The sequence below is a fragment of the Homo sapiens genome, chromosome 5, assembly GCF_000001405.40.
Source record: "Homo sapiens chromosome 5, GRCh38.p14 Primary Assembly".
NCBI classification, from domain to species: domain Eukaryota; kingdom Metazoa; phylum Chordata; class Mammalia; order Primates; family Hominidae; genus Homo; species Homo sapiens.
In genome coordinates this window covers 113,435,742-113,452,835 of record NC_000005.10, presented here as the reverse complement: position 1 = coordinate 113,452,835, position 17,094 = coordinate 113,435,742, and the positions used below count along the sequence as shown (strand labels likewise).

The window sequence follows — 17,094 nt, the reverse complement described above, 5'->3', positions numbered from 1 at the left end:
AGACCAAATGGGGAACTAACATCCTGCACCTGTGCATGCACCTGCAATGAAATCATAATCTTAGACTTGAACATTAAAGAATTACTGGAATAGTGGCTTATCACTGATCTTTCTGAGTTCCAACTATGCCCTTCTGGTGTGGCATTAATAGATTGTCTGCAAATATAGTGTCTTAGTCTGTTTAGGCTGCTGTAACAAAATACCATAAATCAGGTAGCTTATAAAAGACAGAAATGTGTCACAGTTCTGGTTGCCAAGAAGCCCATGATCAAGATGTGGACAGATTCAGTCTCTGGTAAGGGCCTGCTTCCTGGTTCATAGATGGCTTGCTGTCTTTCACTCTCTTCATATGGTAGAAGGGCAAGGCAGCTCTCTGGGGCCTCCTTTATAAGGGCACTAATCCCATTTGTGAGAGCTCTACCCTCATGACCTCATCACCTCCCAAAGGCCTCACCTTCTAATACCATCACATTGGTGATTAAGTTTTAACATATGAATTTGGGGGGGACACAAACACTGAGACCACAGCATATAGCTGCCCACAATTCTTCCCATTCCTATATATGCATGTGGCTTCCTTGTCTAGAAAGTAGATCTATTTCCTCCCCCTGGAATCTGGTTGACCCTACCTTGACCAATAGAAGGCAGTGGAAGTGATGGTGTGTGACTTCCAGGCCTGAGGCTTCAGTGTCCTGGCAGTTTCCATTTGCACCCTCTTGGAAGCCCCAGTCATATTAAGTCTAGGCTATCCTGCTGGACAAATCATGAGGAAAGAGCTCTTGGAGGATTGACGGGACATGTGGAGGAGAACGGAAGTGCCCTGGCCAACAGCCAGTGCCTACAGCCAAACATGGGGGTGAAGCCATCTTGATCATTCCAGCCTTAGGCAGGCTCCCAGTTGGACATGATGTAGAGCAAAAGGACTGCTCAGCTAACCCAGCCAACCCACAGAATCATGAGTAGTTAAACACACTGATTTTTTAAGCCACCAAATTTTAGATTGGTTTGTTACACAGCAGTGGATAGTTGAAAAACTTGGTGTGTGGCTTGGGCAAGTGATGTGATTATTCCAAGCCTCAGTTTTTCCTTCCTTCCCTCCTTCCTTCCTTCTTTTTTTGAGACAGAGTTTCACTCTTGTTGCCCAGGCTGGAGTGCAAAGGTGCAACCTCCACCTCCCAGGTTCAAGTGATTCTCCTGCCTCAGCCTCCTGAGTATCTGGGATTACAGGCATGCGCCACCATGCCTGGCTAATTTTGTATTTTTAGTAGAGACGAGGTCTCTCCATGTTGGTCAGGCTGGTCTTGAACTCCCGAACTCAGGTGATCCGCCCGCCTCGGCCTCCCAAAGTGCTGGGATTACAGGCATGAGTCACCGCACCCAGCCTCAGTTTTCTTAATCCATGAAATGGAGATGATACAAAACATGCTTTCCTCTCAGGGTTGTCATGGTGACCAGTACAATAATAAAAACAAATGGTCTGGATAAACTGTAGATTTAATTTAAAATGCTAGTTGCTAAATCGTTATTCTTTCTTCATCTCTTCCTAAAAGATCCCTTGCTTTATCTGAGGGCCTTTTGTTGTAGTACAGAGCAAGGGAAAGCTTTCTAGTGTAGTGGGCTTCATCTCAGGAGTGTGAAGAAGTAGTGAAAGGGTGTACTGAGATAAAGCATCTTATAGGTGTGGTTGGCGGTATGCCACCAGCTATGGGTTCTTATTTTACTTCCTGAATTCTGCTTACAGAGACCAAACTGAGTTACAGCCTAGGGCAGTGTAGAAAAGAAAAAAAAATGCAATTGTGGAAAAGGAAAGATGCATTAGAATAAAAGAAGCAGAAAGGATGTGGGTCAGAGAGAGAATGGGGGTGAAAAAAAAGGAGGGTAGGGGCTGTCTTCAGAAAGGATGAATTACAACCTACAAGGCCCTTCTGCTAATACATTTTTATAATAAAATGAAGGCTAAGAGTCCTCTTCCAGAATAGAAAGGTAAAAATGCTTTGTAATAGCATTTCAAGAAGTTGCCTTCTGGAGACCTTACTGAAGATGCTGATGGTGCATTAACAGAACTGTTCCCTCTGGAGAGTGACACTTTCTCAGCACGTAGGTACATGTGTACCATGGAAGAGGCAGTTTGAGTGGAACATGTTTTAAAATGCTTATGAAAAGAAATCCAAAATCAGCTCTAAAGAGGGAAGTGGAAATTCTGAAATACCTCACAAGCATTTCTACATGTAGCATATGCTGTGAGAACATCTGTTACATAGCTTCAAAAGCATGCTGGGTCCTGTAAGGGTCATGTTAAGCAAATGGTCCTGGCCAAAATGTTTTATCTCCTGGGGTTCGCACACATTTCTGTTCATGATGCTGCCAGGCTTGGGGGGGCATCACATCAGTCAAAGGCAGCTATATTTGCCAAAGAACTACCTCAAGCTCCCGGGTCCCCACCAAGGCGAGGCCCATAGCTAACTCCACAGCAGCTAATGGAGTTCACTTTTGTCCTCCCAGAGATTCTTCTGCAGCCTGAGTCTTTCTGAGGCTTCTCAGGTTCCTCAAGTCCATTCTCTAGGCTTAAATTAATAAACTAATTCAAGGTAAGGTGCTAATAAGGTAACATTTAATGTTATTTCTCTCCAACTCAGTTTCTTATTTTAACTGTGAACTTCCACCCTAACTCCAGGAGAGAGTCAAATGAAAGAATTTCATTCTGAGAGACTTAGGGGAGTGTGGACATAAGGAGAGACCCTTCCAATGTCCGTAAACTCTTATCTTTATCTTTAAAATTCAATAAATTATTTGCAGTGTAAAATACACTGCAAATTATACATTGTGCAATTGTGCAAACTGTATATAATTTCATGTGTTCTCTTTATAAAGGAAAAAGTAAACATTTTAAAATGGAAAAAATCATACTCCAAATGCAGCCGTGTACTTCACCTACATAGGACTATAAATTTGAAAAAGAGTTTCTGATCTGGCAATACACATCTTTAAAAATCGTCATTTATTTGTTGTGATTTGAAGAAACTTCTAAGATCAGTTTAGACAAATGTGCCCGAAGAGATAAATTCATGCCTATTTTTTGTCCTCCTCCACTTCCCAAACCCACATGTAGACTGTCCTGGGATGTAACAGCTATAACACATGGGCAGTTTTACCTCTGAGCCTCCTCCATGACTGCTCTTTTCCTGTTCCACTCTACCTTGCCCTACTTCCCTCAAAAAAGAAGTAAATAATTTTAAATAAGCTGACTCTCAATCCCTTTGTGTTTAGATAAGTCCTCACAGAAATCATCACAGGAAGGTGGGTACCTGGCCTCCGCTGAGGCAGCACACAGCTAGTGTCTGGCTGAGAGTACACTCTTGGGGTAATGTCAGATGAGTGAATGAATGCACCCTTTCTCAGCTCCCAGTTATAGTGTTAAATTCCTTGCATCACCATATTGGTCTCATTTTATTCTTTTTCTTTCTTCCTTTCCCCAACCACCTTTTCTGCTTTTCATATATACAGGAAGACCTTTTTCAGAACATTCTTCAACCTTATCTTTCCGAGGCTAATTTGTTTATTTTAGCTTTCCTCATAGGTTCTGTTCTCCAGCTTTCTGAATTAGTTGTTTTTCTTTCACTTAAATCCCTGGTGCTGAAGAATATCAAATTGGCTTCCAGTAAGGATCTTCTCTGACCCAAGGATATTTGCATAATTGATTAGTTCGTGAGCCATTTGTGCTATTTTATTCCCAGTAATGAGGCCAGCTGGCCCTCTGTAGGATTTTCCTGATGACCAGTAGAGACTGGGCAGACACTGATGACTGACTGAAGGTTAATAGTAAATTGGAGCATCCAACAAACAATGTTAACTTTTACCTGATTCATGCAATATATAGTACACAAAATGGATTAAAATTTAATCCACATTTCAAACCTTCTTTACTGAGAGGAATAAATAAAATACAAGATTAAAAAGGTCAGAATCAAATGTTATACCTCTATTTGTGGAGCTGTCCTGGAGATGTCTTGAATGATTTTCCCTCCTTGTTTTTAGGCACCTTCTTCTTCCCCATTAGCATTGAAATCTAAGGACTTCATAGTAATGGTGTTTTAAGATGATGATTTTGTAATTCCGGGAAAAAATATTAGAGAAGAAAATCTTAAGGTACAAAAACAGAGTACTTATTCCTACGATCAAGGCAAAGGCTAAGGTTTAAAAAAACTGGAGTGTGTATTTGTCACAACCGAAGGCAGTGCATCAAATCTGAAAAATGAAAAACTTCAGGGATCATTGGTATCTGCAGCTGTCATTCTGTGCCAGAAAGGCTTGTCAGCTTGGGGAATCTTTTATTAATTCTTTTCCACTTAAGGTCATTATGGCCTTTCTTTGCTATTTAGACTGTATTCTTGCGTCTGGCTTTACTTAAGTTTAATATTTAAACAAAGTGTTTACCCTGGAAAGGTTTTTCTGATGTGAAGCCAGTTGTGTCTGGAAGCACGATATTTTCAGAATTTATGTATGCTAAACCAGACTCATAGCTCTTCCACATATGTTCTTCCTTCAAAGGTTATGCACCAGAAAGGAGAAGAATGGAGAGGCAAAGACTGATTGACCCCACTCATGGTGCCTGCCCATCCTGTGGATCCTCCATCTTTTGAAAAAGAGCTCTGAATCTTGTCATACTTAAAAACTTTTGGAATCTAAAAGTAGGCACATGACAGAAAAATCCTATTGTGAGATTTAATGTGCGTTATGTGTTTTTTATTTATAGCGATGGTTAATCCACTTTCAATACTGTTGTTTCCAAGGTAGTTCTCATTTTCTTTTCCCTTCTCCTATTCCCTTTTTCCAGTCCCTCTACACCTCTCCCCAGATAGAGGCCAGATTCAAGCCCATAGGTCTCCTGAGAAGGTCAGCAAAGCCACAGCTATTTTGCTGTCTTGCTTCCAGTGACTGCCCAAGAATGAGGCAGCTGGACCTTTGTCTCAAAATGCTCTCTCTCGGTGGGCCGCCCTGTGGCAGTTCCAGACACTGCTGGACTTTTGGCATCAATGCAGAGGCCCCATATGTTGAACAGTCTAAGAGGCAGCATATGCATCTTTGAGAGTCAGAGCAGAGATGGAGAGAGAGAATGTAGGGAGGATGTGTTTATTTGAATTTTAGCCAATTTAATAGTATCTCAAGTTTTTAAAAAAAGATAAATCTTTTTAAAAAATCCTTAGGGAATGAGCCAACTATAAGAGAACATCAAAATGTAATCATACGGAACATGTGTTCTTCCTCATCTGTCAAAGGAGGTGGTCGGACTAGATGATTTCTAAGACCTCTTCCAGTTCTGATTTCAGCTGTAGAAAAAGCATAGTGGGATCACTGTATAGGGAGAGATTCTTCCAATATCCATAAATTTATATCTTTAAAAAATTCAATAAATTATTTGCAGCATATTTTTCAAATTGTACATAACAAGCATGTGTTCTTTTTATAAAGGAAAAAGTAAACATTTTAAAATTGAAAAAATTTATACTCCAAATGCAGCCATATGCTTCAACTAAATGTGAGACCACCCACCCCTTCCTACCCAAAGAAAGGTGTTTTCTTTGTCTCATGCAGGACTTACATTTGAAAAAGAGTTTCTAATCTGGCAATACACATACTTTAAAAATCATCATTTTATTTATTTGTCATGATTTGAAGATATTCCTAAGATCAGTTTAGACAAAGGTGCCCAGAGAGATAAATTTATGCCTATTTTTCATCCAGCTCTACCTCCCAAACCCACACGTGTGCAGATAACCTGCAAAACCTCAGGGAGAAAGGGTCAATTAGAGATGAGGAAAGGAAGATGAGGGGAGGGTTGGACCAGTTACTAGAAATGATCTTATTTTTTTCAATAATTTTAACTTTTATTTTAGATTCAGGGGGTACATGTGCAGGTTTGTTACCTGGGTATATTGTGTGATACTGAGGTTTGGGGTATGATTGATATTGTTACTCAGGTAGTGAACATAGTACTCAACAGTTAGTTTTTCAACCCTTGCCCTCTCCCTCCCTGCCAGTAGTCCCCAGTGTCTATTGTTGCCATCTTTATGTCCGTGAGTACACTATGTTTAGCTCCACTTATAGGTGAGAACATGTGGCATGTAATGGGATTGCTGGGTCTATTTTTAGTTCTTTGGGAAGTCTCCAAACTGCTTTCCACAGTGACTGAACTAACAGTGCATTAGCATCCCCTTTTCTCTACAGCCTCACCAGCATCTGTCATTTTTTGACTTTTTGATAATAACCATTCTGACTGGTGTGAGATGGTATCTCATTGTGGTTTTGATTTGCATCTCTCTGATGATTAGCGATGTTGAGCAGTTTTTTCATGTTTATCAGCCACTTATATGTCTTCTTTTGAGAAAAGTCTGTTTCTGTCTTTTGCCCACTTTTTAACAAGGTTATATATTTTTTGCTTGTTGATTTCAGTTCCTTATAGATCCTGGATATTAGACTGTCATCAGAGGCATAGTTTACAGATATTTATTTTCCATTCTGTAGGTTGTCTCTTTACTCTGTTGAGAGTTTCTTTTGCTGCACAAAAGCTCTTTAGTTTAATTATGTCATGCTTGTCAATTTTTTTGTTGTAATTGCTATTGAGAACTTAGTTGTAAATTATTTCCCAAGGTCATTGTTCAGAATGGTGTTGCCTAAGTTTTCTTCTAAGATTCTATTCTTATAGTTTGAGGTTTTACATTTAAAACTGTAATCCATCTTGAGTTAATTTTTATATATGGTGAAAGGTAGGGGTTCAGTTGAATTCTTCTGCATATGGCTAGCTAGCTATCCCAGCACCATTTATTGAATAGAGTCCTTTCCTCTTGATTATTTTTGTCAACTTTGTCAAAAATTAGACGACTGTTGATGTGCAGCTTTATTTTGGGGTACTGTATTTTGTTCTATTGGTCTTTGTGTCTGGTTTTGTACCAGTACCATGCTGTTTTGGTTACTGTAGCTTTATAACATAGTTTGAAGTCAGGTAATGTGATGCCTCTAGCTTTCTTCTTTTTGCTTAGGAATGCTTTGGCTATGTGGGGTATTTTTTCATTCTATATGAGTATTAGAATAGTTTTTTTCTAATTCTGTGAAAAACAACATTGATAGTTTGGTGTTTGATAGGAATAGCATTGAATCTGTAGATCGCTTTGGGCTTTATGGCCATTTTAACAATACCGATTTTTCCAATCCATGAGCATGGAATATTTTTCCCTTTGTGTCACCTATGATTTCTTTCAGCAGTGTTTTATAGTGCTCCTTGTAGAGATCTTTCATCTTCTTGGTTAGATGTATTCCTATTTTATTTTTCGTGTGGCTATTATAAATGGGATTGTGTTCTTGATTTGACTCTTAGCTTGAACGTTATTACTGTATAAAAATGCTACTGATTTTTTTATTAATACATTGATTTTGTAGCCTGAAACTTTACTGAAATTGTTTATCAGTTCTGGGAGCCTTCTGGTGGAGTCTTTAGGATTCTTTATGTATAGAATTATATTGTCAGCAAAGAGAGATAGTTTGACTTCTTCTTTTCCTATCTGGATTCCTTTTACTTATTTCTCTTGCCTGATTGCTCTCCCTAGGACTTCTGAAATTTTAAGTATATGATGTTCCCAAACATCCCTAGATCTGGTGCCCTAAACCCAATTCAGAACTTAGATAAATAAGGGTACTTCAGCCTTCTTGGAAACTGAGGATGGAAAATGAGACCATGACCATACTCCAAGATGGAGAGAATTGAAGTGTCTGGGCTGTATCTGGGTTACTGGTTTGTGAGCATTAAGGGATTTTGTTTTTAAGAGACTGCATTGTGTCTGTTAAATATACAGTTCTGCCCTTTACTAGCTCTGCCCTTGGATAAGTTACTTAAATGCATTGAGCCTCACTTTTCTCATCTAGAGGAATACTTCCTTTATAGGGTTATTGTGGGAATAAATGATATGGAACAGTGGTAAAGCCCACTTTTAAATTACTATTGTTGTTGTTGTTATCGTCATCAGGTCATTGGCCCAGAAACTGATGCAAGGCCTTCAATATAGAGAACTGTAATATTAAATGAACCACTAAACTAAAAGAGCTGTAATAATTGATGAACAATACAAGCCTTTTCTATTAGCATAAATAACAGAGCCAGGAACCAGTAGCAACAATAAGAAAAGGAAATAGATGGCCTTTGAGACCTAGTAATGAGACTAAGCATTGATCTGAAGGCCAAATACCACGTAGGTGGCGATCTACCCTTCCCTTAATTGTTCTCAAGGCTATATAGTTTAGATGAGGAAACAAGATTAGACATGTGGATATATATAGTTTAGAAGGAACTAAGACTAGGACATGTAGACCGCAGATTTAACACTTTTTTTCCTTCAAAGAAACTCAATCCAGTAACTTGAAGGACATCTAAGGAGGATCCATTTAGAACCTACAACTATAGATGTAGTAATCCCAATCTCTGTCTTTCACCCTATAGATACTACAGTATCTGTCTCTTCTTATCCCTTACTTTCATCTCTCAACTAAAACTTTTTGCAGGCCCTCAGACTCTTTGGTTCCTTCTTCCCCTTCTTTCCAGGAATGGGCAAACTATGACCGGCCAGTTAAAATTGACCTGTAACCTGTATTTGTACCATCCTGAAGGTAAGAATGTTTTTCATATTTTAAAAATGCTGTACAGGCCGGGCACGGTGATGCACACCTGTAATCCCAGCACTTTGGGAGGCCAAAGCGGATAGATCACGTGAGGTCAGGAGTTCGAGAACAGCCTGGCCAACTTGGCGAAACCCCATCTCTACTAAACACACACACACACACACACACACACACACAAATTAGCCGAGCATGGTGGTGGGCCCCTGTAATCCCAGCTACTTGGGAGGCTGAAGCTTGAGAATTGCTTGAACCAGGAGGTGGAGGTTGCAGTGAGCTGAGATCATGCCACTGCACTCCAGCCTGGGTGAAAAAGCAAGACTCCATCTCAATACCTGGGATGCAAGGCTGGTTCAACATATGCAAATCAATAAATGTTATCCATCAAATAAACACAACCAATGACAAAAACCACATGATTATCTCAAGAGATACAGAAAAGGCCTTCGATAAAATTCAACACCCCTTCATGCTAAAAGCTCTCAATAAACTAGGTATCAATGGAATGTATCTCAAAATAATAAGAGCTATTTATGACAAACCCACAGCCAATATTATACTGAATGGGCAAAAACTGGAAGCATTCCCTTTGAAAACCGGCATAAGACAAGGATGCCCTCTCTCACCACTCCTGTTCCACATAGTGTTGGAAATTCTGGCCAGGGCAATCAAGCAAGAGAAAGAAAAAAAGGTATTCAAATAGGAAAAGAAGAAGTCAAATTGTCTTTGTTTGCAGATGACATGATTGTATGTTTAAAAAACCCCATCATCTCAGACCAAAATCTCCTTAAGCTGATAAGAACTTCAGCAGTGTCTCGGGATAGAAAATCAGTGTACAAAAATCGCGAGCATTTCTATACACCAGTAACAGACAAACAGAGAGCCAAATCATGAGTGAACTCCCATTCACAATTGCTACTAAGAGAATAAAATACCTAGGAATCCAACTTACAAGCAATGTGAAGGACCTCTTCAAGGAGAACTACAAACCACCACTCAAGGAAATGAGAGGACACAAACAAATGGAAAAACATTCTATGCTCATGGATAGGAAGAATCAATATCGTGAAAATGGCCATACTGCCCAAAGTAATTTATAGATTCAATGCCATCCCCATCAAGCTACCATTGACTTTCTTCACAGAATTGGAAAAAACTACTTTAAACTTCATTTGGAACCAAAAAAGACCTTGCATAGCCAAAACAATCCTAAGCCAAAAGAACAAAGCTGGAGGCATCACGCTACCTGACTTCAAACTATACTACAAGGCTACAGTAACCAAAACAGCATGGTACTGGTACCAAAACAGCTATATAGACCAATGGAACAGAACAGAGGCCTCAGAAATAACATCACACATCTACAACTATCTGATCTTTGACAAACCTGACACAAGCAAGCAATGGGGAAAGGATTCCCTATTTGATAAATGGTGCTGGGAAAACTGGCTAGCCATATGCAGAAAACTGAAACTGGATCCCTTCCTTACACCTTATGCAAAAATTAACTCAAGATGGATTAAAGACCTAAATGTAAGACCTAAAAACATAAAAATCCTAGAAGAAAACCTAGGCAATACCATTCAGGACATAGGCATGGGTAAAGACTTCATGTCTAAAACACGAAAAGCAATGGCAACAAAAGCCAAAATTGACAAATGGGATCTAATTAAACTAAAGAGCTTCTGCAGGGCAAAAGAAACTGCCATCAGAGTGAACAGGCAACCTACAGAATAGGAGAAAGTTTTTGCAATCTATCTATCTGACAAAGGGCTAATATCCAGAATCTGCAAAGAACTTAAACAAATTTACAAGAAAAAAACAACCCCATCAAAAGGTAGGCAAAGTGTATGAACAGACACTTCTCAAAAGAAGACATTTATGCAGCCAACAAACATATGAAAAAATGCTCATCATCACTGGTCACTAGAGAAATGCAGATCAAAACCACAATGAGTTACTATCTCATGCCAGTTAGAATGGGGATCATTAAAAAGTCAGGAAGCAACAGATGCTAGAGAGGATGTGGAGAAATAGAAAAGCTTTTACACTGCTGATGGGAGTGTAAATTAGTTCACCCATTGGGGAAGACAGTGTATTTCTAGTTCTGGATTCCTCAAGGATCTAGAACTAGAAATACCATTTGACCCAGCAATTCCATTAATGGGTATATACCCAAAGGATTATAAATCATTCTATAAAGACACATGCACATGTATGTTTATTGCAGCACTATTCACCATAGCAGAGACTTGGAACCAATCCAAATGTCCACCAATGATAGACTGGATAAAGAAAATGTGGCACCATGGAATGCTACACAGCCTTAAAAAAGAATGAGTTCATGTGCTTTGCAGGGACATGGATGAAGCTGGAAACCGTCATTCTCAGCAAATGAACACAAGAACAGAAAACCAAGCTCCGCATGTTCTCACTCATAAGTGGGAGTTGAACAATGAGAACATGTGGACACAGGGAGGGGAACATCATACACTGGGGCCTGTCCAGGGTAGGGGGTTAGAGGAGGGGATAGTATTAGGAGAAATACCTAATGTAGGTGACGGGTTGATGGGTGCAGCAAACCACCATGGCACAGGTATACTTATGTAACAAAACTGCACGTTCCGCACATGTACCCCAGAACTTGAGTATAATAAAAAAGTGCTGTACAAAACAAAAAATAATAAGTGATAGAGACCACATGCGGCCCTTAGAACCTAAAATATTTATTACCTAGCTCTTTATAGAAAATGTTTTCCAACCCCAGTTTTACACCATTCTCTTTTCTCTACTATAAAGAGAACTTGTTTTTTGTTTTGTTTTGTTTTGTTTTGAGACAGTGTCTCATTCTGTCGTTCAGGCAACAGATGGTGCAGTGGCACCATCTGGGCTCACTGTAACCTCCGCCTCCTGGGTTCAAGAGATTCTCCTGCCTAAACCTCCTGAGTAGCTGGGATTACAGGCACCCGCCACCAAACCTGGCTAATTTTTGTATTTTTAGTAGAGACAGGGTTTCACCATGTTGGCCAGTCTGGTCTCAAACTCATGACCTTAAGTGATCTGCCCGCCTCAGCCTCCGAAAGTGTTGGGATTACAGGCGTGAGCCACCACACCTTGACAGAACTTGTTTTTTTCTAATTCTGCGTCTGTCTTTTCTGTTTATTTATCTGCCTTATTAACCTAATCTGCAAATACACAGTGAGTATAGGGGGTAGAAAGGAGGAGAAAATGCTATGAACACATACACATTAATGGTTGTCCCTGTCACACTATGATTCCAGCGGTAATATAAAAAGTCAGGTGGATCTTTCATTATCAGCCATAGTAATTATATGCATTGTTAAACTTCTGATATAATCCCCGATTTCTTTCTTTTTCTTCTCTTTTTCCTGTTCCTTCTTCCTCCTCTTCTTTCTTCGTTTGCCAACAGATCTACTGAAAATTAGTTTCTTACCTGTTCCCTTAAAGGATATAGACATCACTCTTTCTAGCTTTGTTTTTCTTTCTCACCCTTTGTTTTTTCCTTCCCTCCTTATTCCTTCCCTCTTCTCTCTCCTCCTTTCCCTCCCTCTCTTTCTCCTTCCGTTTCTTCTTTACTTTCTTATTTTTTTCTTTTCTTTAAATAAATATCTATTGAGTACCTATAGAGCATTGTGCATTGAGAATCCAAAGACCAATAAGATGCAACGTTTGCCATGGAAACACTTGGTTGGAATTAAATGAAATACACTATAGAGTGGTGTGTCCATGACAAAATGAGATCAAGGTGTTGTGGGTCTGCCTGGGGGTGGGTGGAGGGTGTAACTGAAGTAGAGTGTCTGAGGGAGCCAGGAGACAGTAGCAGGATCCAGATGATAAAGAGCCTCAGATTCTGAAGGAACGTCTACTTTTTTCTAAGGGCCATGAGAGCCTACTCAAGAATTTCAAGCAGGGGAATAAAATATCCTGATTGATCTTTAATAAGGAGCACTGGGCTGCAATGAGGAGAAATGCCAGACTGGAAGTAGAGAGACCAGTAAGGGCACTTTCATAGCAACTGGGTGAGAAGAGATGAGGGTATGCACTAAAGCAGCAATGATAGCTCAGATGTAATAAAATGACCACTAATAGATCAGGCACAGTGGCTCAAGCCTGTAATCCCAATACTTTGGGAGGCTGAGGTGGGAGGATCCCTTAAGGCCAGGAGGTTGAGGCTACAGTGAGGTCTTGAGGCCAGGAGGTTGAGGCTATAGTGAGGTATGGTCATGCCACTGCACTCCAGTGTGGGCAACAGAGCAAAACTCTGTCTGTAAAAATAAAATAAAATGACCATTAATAATAGTAATAAAAGCCAACACTTGCTAAGTAGCCACTGTGTGCTAGCCTTTTGCTAAGTATTATATATCATTATCTTTTTGGATCCTTGCAACAATCCCATGAGCTAGAAACTATTATAGTCCCTATTTTAGAAATGTACATACTGAGGCTCAAAGAGATTGAATGAGTTATTAACTGTCACAACATAAGATTAACCACCACAGGCTAGGATTTTGCCTCCTCAGCTATCTTCAGTGACATGAGTCTCTAGCAGAAAACTTACGACTGGCCATTGGATTTTGCTTCCTAGTGCTTCAAGTTGTGAGGTAGGCTAGGACACTGAGAGACCTTCTGAGGGTACTGACCATGTTATATTCATCTCTATCTTTTCCAAGGCATTTGTCATCTAATAAAGGTTTGTTCTTGGCCATATTCATTCATTTCTCTGTGTTTTGTTCAAATGCCATTTCCCTTTCCTGTATCACCTATGTACATCTACCTTTGCTTCAAGGCCTCGTGTGTCTCATCACCTCTGTGAAACCCTCCAATTGTCCTTTGTGAGCCACTTGAAATGTACTCAGCATGCTTCCACAACCAGGTCTAGGACTTGACTGGCACTTCACTCTGAGCCTGCTGTTTACCACCAGACTTGCTCCCCGACACTCCAGCTTTGGCCTGCCTAACTGGTCAGCAACCCAGGCTCCTTATACCTTTTCCAAATTAAACCATGGAAACATTTCTGTCTGATCTCTTGGAATTTTCAACCTGGTTTTCAAAATTTGTTTCCTTAGCTCAGACTTTGACCCTGCATTGTTATGTTCCTGGTGTCCTTTGGTTTCAGGAACTGTGCTCTTAGAAGACACTGCCTCAACACCGTATCCTGGGTGACCTCCCAGCCAGGGGATCCTGCCCAAGGAAGCTCTAACACCTTCCTGGGCAACCCCAGCCCTCTGATTTTTTTTCTCTCCCATAAGCTTAGGCAATTTACTGCAAAATCAGTACTTTAAAAAATCTACTTAAGTTTCATATTTTATATATTATGACATTCATATCTATATTCTAGTGGTTTCTTCAACTAAATAACAAATTTTTAGAAGGTGATGCCATGTCGTAGTGTTTTTAGCTTCCCTGTAGTGCTTAGTAGTGTTAAGAAAAGTATTTAACAGATACTAGAAAATAGTTTACAGGATCCCGTCTGGGATATTCTAAGGTATAATAGATCTATATTATACTGAATATTATTTTGTACATAACTTGGGCCCAATGGAGTAGAATGCCTCTGCTTTAGACCATTATGATGTCATAAGAGGTGATATACCAGGAATCACCATGTCTAATCCTCACAATCACTTTAAAGTGCATACCTATTTTGCATACCTTTTTTCCTTATATACTTTTCCTATTGCCTCTGTAAGATAACTAGGTAAATTAGATAACTTCATCTATTTTACAGATCAAGTTACTTTCCGAGAGTCACACTGTACTAATAAGATGTGGCCCCTGGGATTTAAAACCAGATTTATCTGCCCCGTGTCTGATGCTCTTAATTGCCTCAGCTCCTACAACTCACCGTACGGCAGATGGAACCCTTGATAACATGTCTTTAGATATAGAATAAAAAAAGTTAGGTGTCATTCTATAGGACCTTAACAATTTCTAGTTAAAGACTCCCCCCACAACCCAAAAATAAGGAAAGTTAGGGGAAAGAAACACAGGTCACTTGCCTAAGGTCACAAAATGAGTTGTCAGAGCCCTAGGACCAAGGATTGGCTCTCCTCTCATGCATTTTGCATTAGAAAACTGCTTTTCTTCCCAGATTCTCAGAGTTCTGCTTGCTCTTTCACTAGGTCCCATAGACTGGTGATACTGACAACTTCAGCATCGATTTTAGGATGCCTTCCCAACCTATGGGATGGTATCCAAAGAGAATCCCACATGGCACTGAAGGAGCAGACCTGAGATGTGAAGCAGGGAGCTGGAGCCCTTTACCACTCCTGCCAAAATTCCCTGTACAGCATATATTTACCTATTCACTCTACCCAAGAGCAACCAAATCCATAATAAAATGCCTTGGTCAGGGCTTTCAAATAACTCAACTATCTGGGATATAGATAAGGAGCCTTTTGAATTTAAAGCATCTAAAGAATCAAAAGACAAAAAGGGGGTGGGAGAAACTGCCGAGTAGATTTTAGAAATATATCTCAGGGAATTTTGAGCCAAAATAGAAATAATTCAAGTGCAGCACTATTTCTCCTTCATCTCCAGGTGTTTTGTATGTCTATGTGTGAGTGTATGTGTATCATCTGTTGCCCAGATTTTTGTAAAATGCAAATAAATGATCCTGTCAGTTTAGGATTTTAGATACAATATTTCTACATAATCCCAAGGTAATTATCATTTTGAGTGAATACCTCATACCTCATTGTCTTTATCCTTGGAAGACATAGAACATAACAGGGGTAAAGGAGCAATGGAGGAAAATGAATTTTTTTTCTCTCCCTTTCTTTGCGATGATCACTCAGCCAGTGTTTATGACTGTGTGTAAAGCTCTGTGCTGAGGGCAGCCAGGGGACACACAAATGAGAAAGCCCAATTTGCAAGAAGCTGTCTTCCCTGCTCTCTCTTGCATTTGCCTCTGCTTATCTTTCCCTATTGCCTTTGTAGGATAACTCAATAAAGAAAACAGCATTGGGACCAAAATAAATTTTTTAGCATTTAATTACAAAGAGTAAACATAACATTGGATATTTTTCATTGTAGACAGCAATATAGATAAACTTTTTTTTTTTTTGAAGAGATTTCTTCTGAGCCAATATGTGACTAATGGCCCAGGACAGCCCCAGAAGATCCTGACAACAAGTGCCCAAAGGGATAGGGCTGCAACTTGGTTTTATACATTTTAGGGAGGCACGAGACATCAATCAGTGTATGTAAGGTATACATTGGTTCAGTCAGAAAAGGAGGGACAACTTGAAAGTGGGAGGCGGGCTTCTGGGTCATGTGGATTCAAAGATTTTCTGATTGGCAATTGGCTCAGAGAGTTTATCTAAAGACCTGGAATCAATAGAAGGGACTGTCTCTGGGGTAAGAGGTTGTAGAGACCAAGGTTCTTAGGCAGATGAAGCCTCCAGGTATCAGGCTTCAGAAAAAACACACTGTTAAATGTTTCTTATCAGACTCTAGTTAATTATCTCAGGAGAAAAGAGCTAGAAAGGGAAGGGGATTCTTCACAGAATGTAGATTTTCCTCATAAGAGACAGCTTTGCAGAGCTATTTCAAAATATGTCAAAGAAATCTGTTTGATAGTAAAATACTTCAGTTTCTTTCAGAGCCTGCTGTATCTTACTGCCAGAGTCTGTTGTCAGTCTTCAGGTCTCTGTGTCGATGTTACTGCTGCTCAGCTGTGCCTGAAACCTGAAGGGAGGAGGGATGATGAGGCCTGCCTGACCCCTACTTTCTATCATGGCCTGAACTAGTTTTTCAGATTAATTTTGGAATGGCCTTGGCTGAGAAGAGGGGTCCATTCAGATGGCTGGGGAGATTAGAATTTTATTTTTGGTTTCCAAGAGACAGCACTTGGGGTTTCCCCAGCAGGAAGGAGAAGGAGGCTGTCTGGAGGAAGGAGCACCAACCACGCACAAAGGACTGGCAGTGGGCAGTCAGAGTTGGGGAACAAGGTGAAGGAGCAGAGAAAAGGGAGAAGGGCCACAGCTGGTGGTGACCCAACCCAGCCTGAGCGACATCCAGCTCTACTAACTCACTCCTGAAGGGCCCAGGGTTCCACCTGGCTCATGTGAGGAAGGAGTTCTCACTCCCTCTAGGTGGATGAGGCCAAAGTCAAATCCAAGGCTAGGACAGTCATGCAACTCCTTCTTCCTGACGGTGTGGCCCAGAGCAGGTGCTGGACACAGAACCAGTCACAGCAGAGGCTCCACTGCCAGAAGAAATGATGGTTGCTGTCCAGTGCTTCCCCTGCTGCTTGTAATGTCCTCAGAGCAGCTGCCAGTGCTCAGGGTGGCATCCAGGCCCCACCTTCAGCCCCCAGCCCCAGATATGCCCTGGGAGCCCAGCCAGGGCCGTGAGCTGGGCAGGTCCCCAGGAGGGAGCTCACAGCCAAGAGCAGAACTCCTGCCA

General features: G+C 40.5%; 1 protein-coding gene and 1 long non-coding RNA gene across 2 annotated transcripts in view; one reads left to right on the top strand and one right to left on the bottom strand.

Moving 5' to 3' along the window:
• The window catches only part of MCC (MCC regulator of Wnt signaling pathway), a 466,348-nt gene that overhangs the window by 35,618 nt on the left and 413,636 nt on the right, over positions 1-17,094 (top strand). The gene's annotated exons all lie outside the window — the stretch shown is intronic.
• The window catches only part of LOC107986366 (uncharacterized), a 59,223-nt gene that overhangs the window by 6,328 nt on the left and 35,801 nt on the right, over positions 1-17,094 (bottom strand). The window contains exons 3-4 of the long non-coding RNA XR_001742459.2: positions 5,247-5,327; positions 3,978-4,073 (exon numbers count right to left, since the gene is read on the bottom strand). This is a non-coding gene — a long non-coding RNA (uncharacterized LOC107986366). The remainder of the gene's footprint in view (positions 1-3,977; positions 4,074-5,246; positions 5,328-17,094) is intronic.